We start from the raw sequence: 13,994 nt of genomic DNA on the forward strand, positions 1-13,994 counted from the left end.
AGGGAAAGGGGCTATGTAAGGAACGTGGCGGGGTGGGTGTGAAGGGAGCACAAGAGGCCTCGCCTGGGCTCTGGATGAGCAGTGGAGGCCAGGGCCATGCTCTAAATGAGTCCTGAAGATGGTTGTCAAGGTCCCTAGGGTTAGGAGAGTCCACTGGGGAGAAAGATGACCACAGGACGGATGCTGCCAGGCTCAGGGCGGAAGGGACGTGCCGTGATTGAAAGGTGCCACCTGTCAGATCTTCCACGGGAAATCCGAGCCTCCCAGTCTAGGGTAAAGTGTTGTACCAACAGGCCAGTAAACAATGCTCTTCAGGCAGCCCAAGACTCTTGAAGTGGGGGTGGGGTGGAAGAGGGAGAGGAAGGGGGGAGGCGGGACCAAAGAGCTGGGGGCTAGAGGCCACTGGGGCTTAAAGGCAGCCTGGGAGTGAGGCCACTCAGCTGGAGCAAAGAGACAGCTCCCAAGCCACAGGCAGAAGCCCCACAGGTAGGAGAAGCCCTGGCACCCTTTCTAAGGGTCCCTCCCCATCTGCCAATTCTCACTCCCACTGTCCAAGGGCCAGAGCCTCCCAGGAGGGCCCCCCATTTGGAGAAATCCAGGCTCCTTTCTAATTCTCTCCACCACAATGTCTACTCTCTTTAGATGCCTGGGGTCTCAGCCCTGCACCAGAGCACCTACAGAGCAGACTGCAAGTGGCCATCCACGAGGAGGCCACAGAGCAGGGGAGGGGACCTTGGGAGTCTCAAGAGTCAAACTGGGTTGGGGGGTAGACTGTCTAAGCCAAGCCTGTCCAGCCCACAGGCTACCTGTGGCCCAGGATGGCTTTGAATGTAGCCCAACATGAATTCATAAACTTTCTTAAAACATTATGAGATTTTTTTTTTTTTTGCAATTTTTGTTTTAGCTCATCCACTATCGTTAGTGTTAACGTATTTTACATGTGGCCCAAGACACTTCTACTTCTACCAGTGTGGCTCAAGGAAGCCAAAAGATTGGATACCCCTAGTCTAAGCAATTGAGGTCGGCCTCTCCAAGGGAGGGCCCCTGGCTGAGTGGGGAAGGTGGAAGCCTTAGGACAACCAGATGACAGATGAGGCTGCAGTGGGTGGCAGACGCACCACAGAACATCCAGTGTTTATACTACTGGGAGTTTGGATCTTGGGCTCCTGGGTCCCTTTCCTCCTGGTCTGCCAGAAGAAACAGGAAGAGAGAGGGAGGGGAGATATCTGCAGTGCTGCTTTGGACACAAAACAGGGATGGTTTGGAGACTTCCTGGGGAAGGAAGGAGGAAGGAAAGGAGAGAATAAGAAAGGAAGGTGGGGGCAGAGAAACTTTCATGAAGGGCCTACTGTGCACCTAGAAGAAAGAGGGAGGAACTCCTCGGCTGAATCTGACTGCCCTTCCCAACTGGTGGGGTGCCCCCACTCTGGGCCAGGGCCTTTGTAGGGACACTGGGCTGCGGAGCTAGTGGGAGCATATATTTGATGTGAGCTCTGGAGTGGAAGTTGGGATACTTGGATTCTAGATAGAGAGCCAGGCCACTTGTCCTATAACTTTAGTCAAGGGACTTCAACTCCCTGAGCCTGAAATCCCCATTGGCTCCCTAATGGGGCCAATAACCTATTCTGAAGGGTCGGAGCAAGAAATGACCAAGAGAAAGCAGGGCCTCCGCAGCATAAGCTGTAAACTGCTGTAGGGCTGTGAATGCTGGGGGTGGGTGGTGGCGTCCTGGTTTCTCAGCATTCTGAGCATCTTCACTCCTTTTCTATTTGTGACAAGCCTGGAGGGTGGAAAGCTGAGGTGATAAACACGCAGGATAGCCGAGGTGTGTGTCCGTGTGCGTGCACCTACCCTTCCCCTCCACCACCCTAAGTATGCAGCGTGTAGGCAGAAGGAAAGATGGTTAGAGCGGCCAGTCTCAGTGGCTCATACCTATAAACTCAGCACTTTAGGAGGCCGAGGCAGGAGGTTCACTTGAGGCCAAGAGTTTGAGACCAGCCTGGGAAACATAGCGAGACCCCATCTCTATAAAAAAAATAAAAAACAAAAAATTAGCCAGGTGTGATGGTGCACATCTGTGGTCACAGCTCCTCAGGAGGCTGAGGTGGGAAGATCCGTTGAGTCCAGGAGGTAGAGGTCACAGTGAGCTATGATTGAGCCACTGCACTCCAGCCTGGGCAACAGAGTAAGACCCTGTCTCTTAAAAATAAAAGATGACTGGAGCACTCAGCTATGTCTTAGCCAAATAGTGTCATACTTTGAGGTATAAAAAGGGCTTGTTATCATCCTACTGGCATTCAGTTCTCTCTGCCTTGACTCACTGATAAATGCCCTCAAGGCTGGGTCAGGACCTTGCCCTGGCACAGGGCTGGGCACAGCCAACCCACATCATACGAGCTGATGGGTGCTGAGTACTCATTCATGCCAAGCATGCCTCTGAATCCTGTTTTGTTTTGTTTTTTTAAGAGCTGAGGTCTCACTTTGTTGCCCAGGCTGGAGTGTAGTGGCTATTCATAGGCATCATTATAGTGCACTGCTTGACCTCCTGGCCTCAGGTGATCCTCCTGCCTCAGCCTCTTGAGTGGCTGGGACCACAGGCATGTGCCGCCACGTCTGGCTCCAGATATTTTCTAAGCATGGGCTTTCTTAATCCTCCACCATCCCTATGGGATGGGACCTATTGTTGTCTGCAGAAATCAAAACACAGAGAGGATGGATAGCTTGCTCAAGGTTAACACAATTAGTAACCCATGGGAGCTGAGATCCCATCACAGGAAGACACCAGAATCAATGATTTTCACTGCTAGTCCATGTCACCTTCCAAACAAGAGCAGAGAGAAAGAGGGGAAGGGATTGTGTTAGACCAGCATTTGCCATGCTTTCTTCTGCTGCTAGAGAGAGTGGTAGATGCTCCTCAGGGAAAATCAAAGCAAAAAGAAAAGAAAACAAAGGGAGGAAAAAAAAAAGTCATGGTCAAATAGGTTTGGAAAAAAGTGAGTTAAATGAAGTTTAAGCAAGGTTTAGGTTTCTTGACTATCTGGTTTCTAAAATCTATTTAAATGCTAATGAAGTTATATATCTGTTTTTGTTTTGTTTTGTTTTGTTTAATTTTATTTTCCTTACTATAGAGACAGAATTTAATATGTTGCCTAGGCTGGTCTTGAACTCTTGGGCCGAAGTAATCCTCCCACCTAGGCTTCCCAAAATGCTAAGATTATAGGCATGAGCCACTGCGCCTGGCTGAAACTGTATATCTCTAAGAGGGTAAAGAGTAGGCTTTTTTGTGGAGCAACCTTAGCCAGAGAATATCCTTTCTCCCAACCCCACAGAAAACCCTATCCATGTCACGGGAGACCCTAGTTTTCCACAGAACACAATGTGGAGAACCTGATCCAGATGAACCCCATCATTGTCAGTTGAAACTGAGGCCCAGAGAGGGAAAACTACTTGCTCAGGTCTCAGTGGGGACTGGAAGATGCAGGTCACAGCCAGCTCCACAACTTCACACCTCCCGGCATCTCTGCTGATGTGCGTCCATCCCCCTGGCTCATCTTCCCTCTTTTTTTTTTTTTGAGACGGAGTCTCGCTTTGTTGCCCAGGCTGGAGTGCAGTGACGCGATCTCGGCTCACTGCAACCTCCACCTCCCGGGTTCAAGCAATTCTCCTGCCTCAGCCTCCCAAGTAGCTGGGATTACAGGCGTCTGCCACCACACCCAGCTAATTTTTGTATTTGTAGTAGAGATGGGGTTTCACCATATTGGCCAGGCTGGTCTTGAACTCCTGACCTTGTGATCTGCCCGCTACGGGCTCCCAAAGTGCTGGGATTACAGGTGTGATCCACCATGCCCGGCGTCATCTTCCCTCTTACTTTAAGACATTGCTGGAGCCGCTGAACCAGGAAGGGGCTCTAGCAGGAATCAGAGGACAGTGTGAGCATCTTTACAAATCCCAGCCTACTTTTAGGAAATAGTGAGGGCATCGAATTCAGGAACCCCAGGACTCTGGGTAAGACCCCAGTGGGTGGTGGGAAAAAAGCCCTATCCCTGTCTTCTTGCCTCCTGTCCTCTGCCCAATTACCCAGGTGCCCTCGGTACTATCACTGAGAAAGATGGTACTGCCAAGGGCAGGGGGTATTTTTAGTGTGTGACAGGAGTGTCCACTTTTCTTACTGCCTGAGTCATGCCCTGAGCCCTATTTGGGGATTGTTTTCTTTGTAACTACACCCCCCAAAAAGGGCAGGAGCATGAAGGAGCTAACCCGGGGCCCCCACACACCTGTTTTTGTAGATCCTCCAGTATATACAGTACTTAAATAGGAAACTCCGAGTTAAGATGTCATAATCTACCCCCATGCTCCCGGGGGCAGTTGGAGAGTCAGATTGCTCAGCAGAGGCCAGGGAGAGTACGGCTCCATTCTTCACTCAAGGAAACGCTTCCTTGCCCAGGCCCACCTTTTCCAAAAACCACAGGCTGGTAGAGCTGGCAAAGCTCCAGAGACCAGTTGGCCCTGGGGTTCCCAAATTTCAGCCATTTTTATACACCACCTCTATAATTTTGCTACATCTGCACTGCCTATATTCCAGTTTCCTGAATTACTTCCTTTGAATCAACTTATTTTTAAGTTCAGTAAATGTATTTTTAAAAGACACTGTATCACTGTTGGAAATGGAAACTCAGTATCACTTACCAGAGATAGAAAGTAACTGTAAAAATAAATACAATGGAAACAAAATGGTGTTATTCAATTCTATCTAGATACTTCTGCTTGCCTAGGCTCTCAGGGGAGAGTAGCAATTGTTCCATAGGTGTTCTAGGATGCCAGTATAAAACTGTGACCAGGCACTGCTCATGCCTGCAATCCCAGAACCTTGGGAGGCCGAGGCAGGTGGATTGCTTGAGCTCAGGAGTTTGAGACCAGCCTGGGCAACATGGCAAAACCCCATCTCTACAAAAAAAAAACACACACACACACACACACACACACACACAAAAATTAGCCAGGTGTGGTGGTAAGCACCTGTAGTCCCAGCTACTCAGGAGGCTGAGGTTGGAGGATCACCTGACCCCAGGAGGCAGAGGTTGCAGTGACCTGAGATTGTGCTCCTGCACTCCAGCCTGGATGACAGAGCGAGACCTTGTCTCAAAAAATAAATAATACAATAAAATTGTGACCACCTCAGTGGCTTAATCAAAAAGAGGCAACATGACTGAAAAGGCATTATGTGATTCAATGTTCTTTAAAGCCAAAGCCAGAACCTACCGAGGGGCATCAGGTGAACACCATCCAACGTCATGTCAATGTAGCCCAACCATCCCAGCTTTGGGGAAGCACTTCTCTCTCCTTCGTGATTGGGCCCCATGTCCAAGTAGGAGCCAAGACTGAACCACGGACTTCCTGACTCCCAGGCCAGAGCTCTCTGAGGGTGGGGTCTTCACCTCATGCTGGGCTGGGGCATGACCAGGTCTGCTTGTCTTCTCTTTCCAGAGATGGAGCAGAAGGAAGGGAAGCTCTCTGAGGATGGGACCACCGTCTCCCCAGCTGCGGACAACCCTGAGATGTCAGGAGGTGGAGCCCCTGCAGAGGAGACCAAAGGCACAGCTGGAAAGGCCATCAATGAGGGGCCTCCCACTGAGTCAGGAAAGCAGGAAAAGGCACCAGCCGAGGACGGCATGTCAGCAGAACTCCAGGGGGAAGCAAATGGATTAGATGAGGTCAAAGTGGAATCTCAGAGGGAGGCTGGTGGGAAAGAGGATGCTGAGGCTGAACTTAAAAAGGAGGATGGTGAGAAGGAAGAGACCACTGTGGGTTCTCAGGAGATGACTGGCAGGAAAGAAGAGACCAAATCTGAACCCAAAGAGGCTGAGGAAAAGGAGAGCACGCTGGCCTCTGAGAAGCAGAAGGCTGAGGAGAAAGAGGCCAAACCTGAATCTGGGCAGAAAGCCGATGCCAATGACAGAGACAAGCCTGAACCTAAGGCAACAGTTGAGGAGGAGGACGCCAAGACAGCCTCTCAGGAGGAGACAGGCCAGAGGAAAGAGTGCAGCACTGAACCCAAGGAGAAGGCTACTGATGAAGAGGCCAAGGCTGAATCGCAGAAGGCTGTTGTGGAGGATGAGGCTAAGGCTGAACCCAAGGAGCCCGATGGGAAAGAGGAGGCCAAACATGGTGCAAAAGAGGAGGCTGATGCAAAAGAGGAGGCGGAGGATGCAGAGGAGGCAGTGAGTGAGGCAGGAAAGGAGCAAGGAGGCTCTGTCGTCTCCTGCTTCTGGAAGCAAGCCCCCTCTGCTTCAGTCAGTTGGGAAAGTCCAGTTTTCCTCCTGATGATTTCCAGAGCCCAGGGTGGGGGAGGGGGGACAAGGAGTGCAGCACCGTAGTCCCAGGCTGCCTTTCAGAACTTTCTGAAGTCCTCATGAAGCCAGGGCAGGTGCTGTGTGACCATGAGCTCACGCAGATCATGCTCATTCCAGGAGCCAGGCAGTCCCAGCGAAGAGCAGGAGCAGGACGTGGAAAAAGAGCCAGAGGGAGGGGCAGGGGTGATTCCCAGCTCCCCAGAGGAGTGGCCTGAGAGCCCCACTGGGGAGGGGCACAACCTCAGCACAGGTGAGTGAGAGCCCAGAGCCCATGGGATGCTGCAGAGGCCACCTGGGGGAGGGGCGCAAGAAGCATGCCATGGATAGCCCCAGCTTCCCTCCCTCCTTTCACTTTCCTCCAGATGGGCTGGGTCCAGACTGTGTAGCTTCCGGACAGACCAGTCCTTCAGCCAGGTAATGTCAAACTCTGGGGCTCCAGCTCCAATTCCCCCTACCTCCTGCTTCCCTCAGCGTCCACCATCAACTCAGTCTGGGTTCCCCCAGCACCTGATTTCAAGATATTCGAGGATTCCTGGCATTCAGCTTCCTATCCCAGGGCAGAGCCCAGGAAACAAAAGAAGCCAGAGGCATGGTCGGCTGCAGTGGCTCACGCCTGTAATCCCGGCACTCTTGGAGGCTGAGGTGGGTGGATTACCTGAGGTCATGAGTTCGAGACCAGCCTGGCCAACATGGTGAAACCCTGTCTCTACCAAAAATACAAAAATTAGCTGAGCGTGGTGGTGGGCACCTGTAATCCCATCTACTCGGGAGGCTGAGGCAGGATAATTACTTGAACCCAGGAGGTGGAGGTTGCAGTGAGCCGAGATTGCGCCATTGCACTGCAGCCTGGGCGACAGAGCAAGACTCCCTCTCAAAACAACAACAACAGCAACAACAAAAAACCAGAGGCAGAAAGGAGCACGAAGGATACCTGGTCCACTTCCCATGCCATGGCTGAAGTCTGCCCTGTGGCATCCCTGACACTTCACAGGAGCTCCTTATCTTTCAGCTGAACATGTTTCCATGGTGCCAGTCATCCAAAAAGCATGATCAGAAAGCCCGAGTTGGGACAATGGTTCTGCCATGTACCAGCTGTGTGACCTTGGCCATGTCACTGAACCTCTTCTCATCTGTGAAGTGGGCATAGCAATTGTATCTACCTCGTAGGATTATTCTCAGGCTTCAATGAGTAACAAGTGCAAAGCACTTTAGCCCAGTGCCTGGTCCCTGGCAGGTGCTGGATAAAATAAGAGGCTTATGCTTGCCATTGCACAACTTCAGTCATTAGAAGGATTATCTGGAGCTGAAATCTGCCTCCTTGTCCTCCCCCCATTTTTTTTTTTTTTTTGAGATGGAGTCTTGATCTGTCGCCCAGGCTGGAGTGCAATAGTGCGATCTCAGGTCACTGCAACCTCTGCCTCCCGGGTTCAAGCGATTCTCCTGCCTCAGCCTTCCAAGTAGCTGGGATTATATGTGCGCGCCACCACGCCTGGCTAATTTTTGTATTTTTACTAGAGGCAGGGTTTCACCATGTTGGCCAGGCTGGTTTTGAACTCCTGACCTCAGGTGATCCACCCACCTTGGCCTCCCAAAGTGCTGGGATTACAGGCATGAGCCACTGTGCCCGGCCTCCTTGTCCCTTTCTTAGGGAAAGATAACCAGTGAATAGTCACCCAGCAGGCACAGCTGGATGCTTTACATTCACCTTCTTACATAGGGCAGGTAGGTATTCTTGTCCTCATTTTACAGATGAGGAAGCTAAGGCTCAAACAATGTGACAGTCCCAAGATCACACAGCAAATAAGAGGCAAAGCCATGCCAAGCGCAGTGGCTCACACCTATAATCCCAGCACTTTGGGAGGCTGAGGCGGGTAGATCACTTGAGGTCAGGTGTTTGAGACCAGCCTGGCCAACATGGTGCAATCCCATCTCTACTAATAATACAAAAATTAGCTGGGTGTGGTGGCGGGCACCTGTAATCCCAGCTACTCAGGAGGCTGAGGCAGGAGAATCGCTTGAACCCGGGAGGTGGAGGTTGCAATGAGCCAAGATCACACCACTGCACTCCAGCCTGGGCAACAAGAGCAAAGCTCTGTCTCAAAAAAAAAAAAAAGAGAAGCAAAGCCAGGTTCCAAACTCAGGTCAGACCTCAGAGGTGTCCTAGCTCTACCCACATGTCCTCACCAGACCACATTCTCCCCCAAGTTAGACTGAGACTCACGATTCCTTCTCAATGTCCTCCCAGTGCTGGGCACAGCTGCACACACCCCCTTAGACTGCAGTGCCACCCACCCTCCAGCCCCACAGCCCCCTCCCTGTGTCCTGCAGTGCTGGTCCCAGCCTCTCTCACACGTCTTTGGACTTCTCCATATAGTGAGTCTTCACCCAGCGACGTGCCCCAGAGTCCCCCTGAGTCCCCTTCCTCAGGGGAGAAGAAGGAGAAGGCACCAGAGCGCAGGGTATCAGCCCCTGCTCGGCCCCGGGGGCCCCGGGCACAGAACCGCAAAGCCATCGTGGACAAGTTTGGCGGGTAGGACACAGGCCAGGGGCTGGGCTGGGCTTTCCCATAGGAACCCTGGGTTGGTGGGAGGGTGGCCTCAGGGGCAGTGGGAACAGCCCAGGCCAAGGCAGGAGGACTGACACCTGGGGGCTGGGGATCCTCCCAGTGGGGCCCTTCATGGCCTCCTGCCTCTCTGGCTTGGCCTTGCACCCCTCTCCCCTCACAGGGCAGCTTCCGGCCCCACGGCCTTGTTCCGCAACACTAAGGCAGCCGGGGCAGCCATTGGTGGTGTCAAGAACATGCTCTTGGAGTGGTGCCGAGCCATGACAAAAAAATACGAGGTGGGCATGGGGCAGAGCTGCGTGGGTGGGGCAGGGGTCCAGGGAGGGTCCAAGTGGTGCAAACCCCAAAGGGTGGGAGGGTGGGAAGGGGGCCAAGTCCAGGCCATCTGGCTGAGCCTCACTGAGGCCTCCTCTGTGCCCTGCCTGCCATAGCATGTGGACATCCAGAACTTCTCCTCCAGCTGGAGCAGTGGTATGGCCTTCTGTGCCCTCATCCACAAGTTCTTCCCTGACGCCTTTGACTACGCAGAGCTGGATCCCGCAAAGCGCCGGCACAACTTCACCCTGGCCTTCTCCACAGCAGAGTAAGCCACAGCCATGGGCTGGCAGAGCTGGATGGGAGCCTAGGCGAGGACTGGATTCACAGGGGTTGAGTAGTGAGGCAGTTACACCGATGCTGGTGCCACACATTCATGTATCCAACAGACATTTTTTGAGGGCCAGGCACTGTTTCAGGCCCTGGGGATACAGCAGTGGGTGAAAAAGACAAAAATCTCTGCTTGAGTCAAGCGCAGTGGCTCACTTGTATAATCCCAGCACTCTGGGAGGCCGAGGCAGGAGAATCGCTTGAGGCCAGGAGTTTAAGACCAGCCTGGGCAACATAGTGAGACCCCCATCTCTACAAAAAATCAAAAAATTAGCTGGGTATGGTGGTGGATACCTGTGGTCCCAGCTATTCGGGAGGCTGAGATGGGAGGATCACTTGGGCTCAGGAAGTCAAGGCTGCAGTGAGCCATGATTGAGTCACTGCACTCCAGCTTGGGTGACAGAGCAAAACTTTGTCTTTAAAAAAAAATTACAATTTTAAAAAATGAAAGGGAAACTTGCAGTCTGGACTTACAGCTCTAAGTGAATATCAGAAGGGCAAGCAGCTCTGCTCTCACCAAGTGCTCCTGACCTGCAGGCTGTGAACCAACTGTCCTGCTCCTGCAGCTGCCTGGACTCTGGTTCTGAGTCAGGCAGAGCCACTGGAAGGTGGGAGGAGTCATCAGATGACAAAGACAGGCCGACAGGAGGCATCAGGCAGCTGAAAGCCCAGGAGGTCGTGGGGATGTGTGGAGAAGGAGAGAGGAGAATAGAAGCTGAGGTGCCTGGGTTTGAATCCTCCCTGCTTCTCCCTAGCTCTGTGACCCTCGCCAGCTGGCTTAACCTCTCTAGAGGCCCCACATCACAGGGCTTGTTGTGAAGATTAAGTGTGAAGAGGAAAGAGTGTCTGCCACAGTCATCACACCCCACTGCCCATTCCAGAACTCTCCTCCGATTCCCATGGAGTCCGGGGATGAGGGGAGGGAGTGGCCAATGCCGAAGCCCCCAGTGGCGAAGCCCTTCCCCACCCACGCCCCAGGCTCAATGGGAATGAAGGTTTTGCCTCTCCCACGTAGAGGGACAGCACCCTAACCCAAAACCATGGGGCACTGCATTGGTTGCAGGGAGCTTGTCCCATTCTCCAAAATCCTCCAGTGTGTGTCCTTCCCACAGCTCCCAGTCTGGCGTGGATTTTGGCCCTGCAGTCTCAGCCCCAAGGGAGGATTTCCTCTGGGGCCCTGGTTTCTCCTATGCCAGCACCTATGGCTGGCTTTGGTAGGCAGGGACTGCTGAGACCCAGCTTCAGAGAAAGGGTGCCAGAGGTGTCAGACAGGCCCCCGGGGTTGTGTTGCTCACTTTGGCCTTGGGCAAACCACCAAAACACTCTGAGTCTCCGCTTCCTCTTCTGCTGGCTGAGGATGGAGGGGAGGAGTCTATGAGAACGTCCAAGGGGAAGCACCTGATAAAGCATGAGGTGGGCAGGAGGTCCCAACACTGATTAGCTCAGATTGTCGGCCTCAGCAAAGCCAGTGGTGTCACAGAGCCCCAAAGGGCAGCTGCGAAGTTAGAAAAAGAGGACTTGTTGCTAAGTGCCAGCAGCTCCTGAAACACACCAAGCATTCCTGCCTCGGGGCCCTTGCACCTGCTGTTTCCTCTGCCTGGACTCCTTTCCCCAGATGTGCACATGACTTACTCTAAGAGGCCTACCCTGAGCACCCTATTAAAAAATACCACAGCTGGGTGCAGTGGCTCACACCTGTAATCCTAGCACTTTAGGAGACCGAGGCGTGGGGATCACTTGAGGTCAGGAGTTCAAGATCAGCCTGGCCAACATGGTGAAACCTTGTCTCTACTAAAAATACAAAAATTAGCTGGGCGTGGTGGCACACACCTGTAATCCCAGCTACTTGGAAGGCTGAGGCAGGAGAATCACTTGAATCCGGGAAGCAGAGGTTGCAGTGAGCCAAAATCACGCCACTGCATTCCAGCCTGGGCAACAGAGCAAGACTCCATCTCAAAAATAAATAAATAAATACATTAAAAATATATAAAAAATACCAGATCTCCTCCAACATAAGAACATACCCTGTCTCCCTTCCTGCCTTATTTTCCTCCTTAGCACCTCTCACCATCTGATGTACCATCTACTTTGTGTGTTGCTTACTGTCTCCTGCCACAAGAATTTCTATGCCATGAGAGTGCAGAAGTTTTGGTTTTATTCACTGATGAATTCTCAGAGCCTGGAAGAGGGCCTGGCACATAATAGGCTCCTGATAAGTACATAGAGACTGAATGAGTGATGCTCCTGGAGATGCTGCAGCTGCAAGCCAGGACTCTGGCTAGGATTTGGTTTCTGTCCTTTATCTTTTTTTTTTCTTTTTTTTTTTTTTGAGACAGAGTATCACTCTGTTGCCCAGGCAGGAGTGCAGTGGTATGATCTCAGCTCACTGCAACCTCCACCTCCTGGGTTCGAGTGATTCTCATGCCTCAGCCTCCCGAGTAACTGGGAATACAGGTGCCTGCCACTATGCCCAGCTAATTTTTGTATTTTTAGTAGAGATGGAATTTCACCATGTTGGCCAGGCTGGTCTCAAACTCCTGACCTCAGGTGATCCAGCTGCTTCAGCCTCCCAAAGTGCTGGGACTACAGGCATGAGCCACCACACCTGGCCCCTTTAAATTCTTCCTGAGGGGCCTGGTCTAACAGAAGCTCCCCGGTTCCAGAGGACAGATACATACGCATGTGGAAGTGGTGGGTTAATGTAGAACTAGAGACCAGAGGGTCCTGCGCCCATGTGAGGACAATAAGTGCAATGAAAATGTGGGCTTGGAATCAGACCCAGCTGGGTTTGAGTCTTTTTTTATTTTAATTTTTGTTTTTATTTTTTGGAGAAGCTCCCATTCTCTGAAAAGGTCTCACTAGGTTGTCCAGGCTGGTCTCGAACTACTGAGCTCAAGGGATCCTCCCGCCTTGGCCTCCCAAAGTGCTGGGATTATAGGTGTGAGCCACTGTGCCTGGCCTAAAACTCATTATTGAATTATTCACTGGTGTTGGCTTTGGGGTTACCTGTCTACATCCTGTGACCTACCTAAAGGAAGCCACAGCACCTGGCCTGGGTTTGTCTTAACTCTGTTGGGGTCTCAGTTATCTCATCTAGATATATAATGGGATGATTGGCTTAGATGATCTCCCAGCCCCAACATCCCAGCCCATCCTATGGGCTTCGTCATTGCTGGGCTGCCTGCACCCATCCCCTTGGCTCCCATATCCTTCACCTTTGACCTTCTGCTCCTCATTCCACCCCATTCCTTAGGAAACTGGCTGACTGTGCTCAGCTGCTGGACGTGGATGACATGGTGCGGTTGGCTGTGCCCGACTCCAAGTGCGTCTACACATACATCCAGGAACTGTACCGCAGCCTTGTGCAGAAAGGACTGGTGAAGACCAAGAAGAAGTGAGGAGGTGACTGGCTCTGTGGGCAGAGATGGGCAGGGTGCCCAGCTCAGCAGCCACGGCCCGGGGGTTCCCTTCTGCTCCATGGAGGCACCAGAGCCAGGGGCTTAGGCAAGGGTGTGTGGCGTTGGTTTTAACTGCATTAAAAGTACTTTTGTAAAATCCTGTCTGGCCCCTCAGTGCTCTCTCCATACTTGGCCCAGGAACCTCTGCACTCTGGGATAATAAACTCTGGCCATAGGGGATTCCTCACCTGCTGAGGTCTCAATAACTGCGCAAGGTGTTTGGGAAAGGACAATGGCCTGGTTCCCACCACTAACCAGCTGTGTGACACATACAGTTAACCTCTCTGGGCCCCAGTTTACAGTCTGAAAGGGGATAATGAGAGTTCCAACCTTATGAAGGTGTTGCAAGAGTTAAACGAGATAATGAAATGGGCAAAAAGCTTTGCCCAGTCCTGCCACTCAAGTGTTCAGTAAGTGGTCGCCAAAAATAAAAAACTTACATTTTGACTCTGGTGGCACTTCTTCTGGTTATCTTCCCCTCTTTTCACACTTCTTCTCAGGTTAGGGGACTCCAGGGCAGGAGCTGGAGAAGATTCTCTAGAAACTAGTGGGATCTGGGTGACTTCCTTGACTCAAATCACCCCATATTCTATCTCTGAAAAGCCAGCAGTATTCCAGGAGCTTACAACAATTGCAACCAGAAAGTTCTTCTTCTGGGTTAAGTTAATCCCTTAACTGAAGTTAATCCCTGGCTGAAGTTTTGGCTTGTTTTTGTTTTTCCATTGCTCATGAGATACAAACCCCTGAGCTGATTACAATTTCCTGCTAACTATCCAGTCTGGCTTTATCAGCCATTTGGGGCATGTGTGCTGATGAAAGCAGCTCATGAAAAATACAGAAAACAAAACACACCCCAGCCATAACCCTGGCTCACCTGCAGGGGTGTGGATTGGCAGAGTGGACCCCAGCAATCCACTGAAGTGCTCTGTGCCTCAATTGCCTCATCTTTAAAATGGGGGTGTTGGCCGGGCATGGTGG

General features: G+C 51.9%; 1 protein-coding gene across 1 annotated transcript, besides 4 other annotated features; it reads left to right on the forward strand.

Annotated features, from left to right (window-relative positions):
- Window positions 1-438: 438 nt before the first annotated feature.
- On the forward strand, window positions 439-13,116 carry SMTNL1 (smoothelin like 1). Its single transcript, NM_001105565.3, has 8 exons — window positions 439-486; window positions 5,485-6,218; window positions 6,468-6,600; window positions 6,713-6,764; window positions 8,725-8,880; window positions 9,077-9,191; window positions 9,345-9,496; window positions 12,812-13,116. Exons 2-8 carry the CDS (start codon window positions 5,487-5,489, stop codon window positions 12,954-12,956), a joined length of 1,485 nt encoding a protein of 494 aa, NP_001099035.2. The 5' UTR covers window positions 439-486; window positions 5,485-5,486; the 3' UTR covers window positions 12,957-13,116.
- Window positions 6,247-7,137: an enhancer, noted in NCBI's record as "H3K27ac-H3K4me1 hESC enhancer chr11:57310876-57311766 (GRCh37/hg19 assembly coordinates)". NCBI's record gives its function as "activates a minimal SCP1, AML or CMV promoter by ChIP-STARR-seq in primed H9 embryonic stem cells {active_cell/tissue: H9 hESC(primed)}" and the evidence as "EXISTENCE:reporter gene assay evidence [ECO:0000049][PMID:30033119]".
- Window positions 10,008-10,077: an enhancer, noted in NCBI's record as "active region_4721". NCBI's record gives its function as "activates an Ori minimal core promoter by ATAC-STARR-seq in GM12878 lymphoblastoid cells {active_cell/tissue: GM12878}" and the evidence as "EXISTENCE:reporter gene assay evidence [ECO:0000049][PMID:35858748]".
- Window positions 10,704-10,773: an enhancer, noted in NCBI's record as "active region_4722". NCBI's record gives its function as "activates an Ori minimal core promoter by ATAC-STARR-seq in GM12878 lymphoblastoid cells {active_cell/tissue: GM12878}" and the evidence as "EXISTENCE:reporter gene assay evidence [ECO:0000049][PMID:35858748]".
- Window positions 10,784-10,843: an enhancer, noted in NCBI's record as "active region_4723". NCBI's record gives its function as "activates an Ori minimal core promoter by ATAC-STARR-seq in GM12878 lymphoblastoid cells {active_cell/tissue: GM12878}" and the evidence as "EXISTENCE:reporter gene assay evidence [ECO:0000049][PMID:35858748]".
- Window positions 13,117-13,994: the final 878 nt, after the last annotated feature.

The sequence above is a fragment of the Homo sapiens genome, chromosome 11, assembly GCF_000001405.40.
Source record: "Homo sapiens chromosome 11, GRCh38.p14 Primary Assembly".
Taxonomy (NCBI): domain Eukaryota; kingdom Metazoa; phylum Chordata; class Mammalia; order Primates; family Hominidae; genus Homo; species Homo sapiens.

Bases quoted from the DNA above. Each gene is read 5' to 3' on its own strand.
- SMTNL1 (NM_001105565.3), top strand. From the start codon at position 5,487: ATGGAGCAGAAGGAAGGGAAGCTCTCTGAGGATGGGACCACCGTCTCC. The intron at 6,219-6,467 runs GTGAGTGAGGCA...TGCTCATTCCAG, and splicing joins CGGAGGATGCAGAGGAGGCA to GAGCCAGGCAGTCCCAGCGA. The intron at 6,765-8,724 runs GTAATGTCAAAC...TTCTCCATATAG, and splicing joins CAGACCAGTCCTTCAGCCAG to TGAGTCTTCACCCAGCGACG.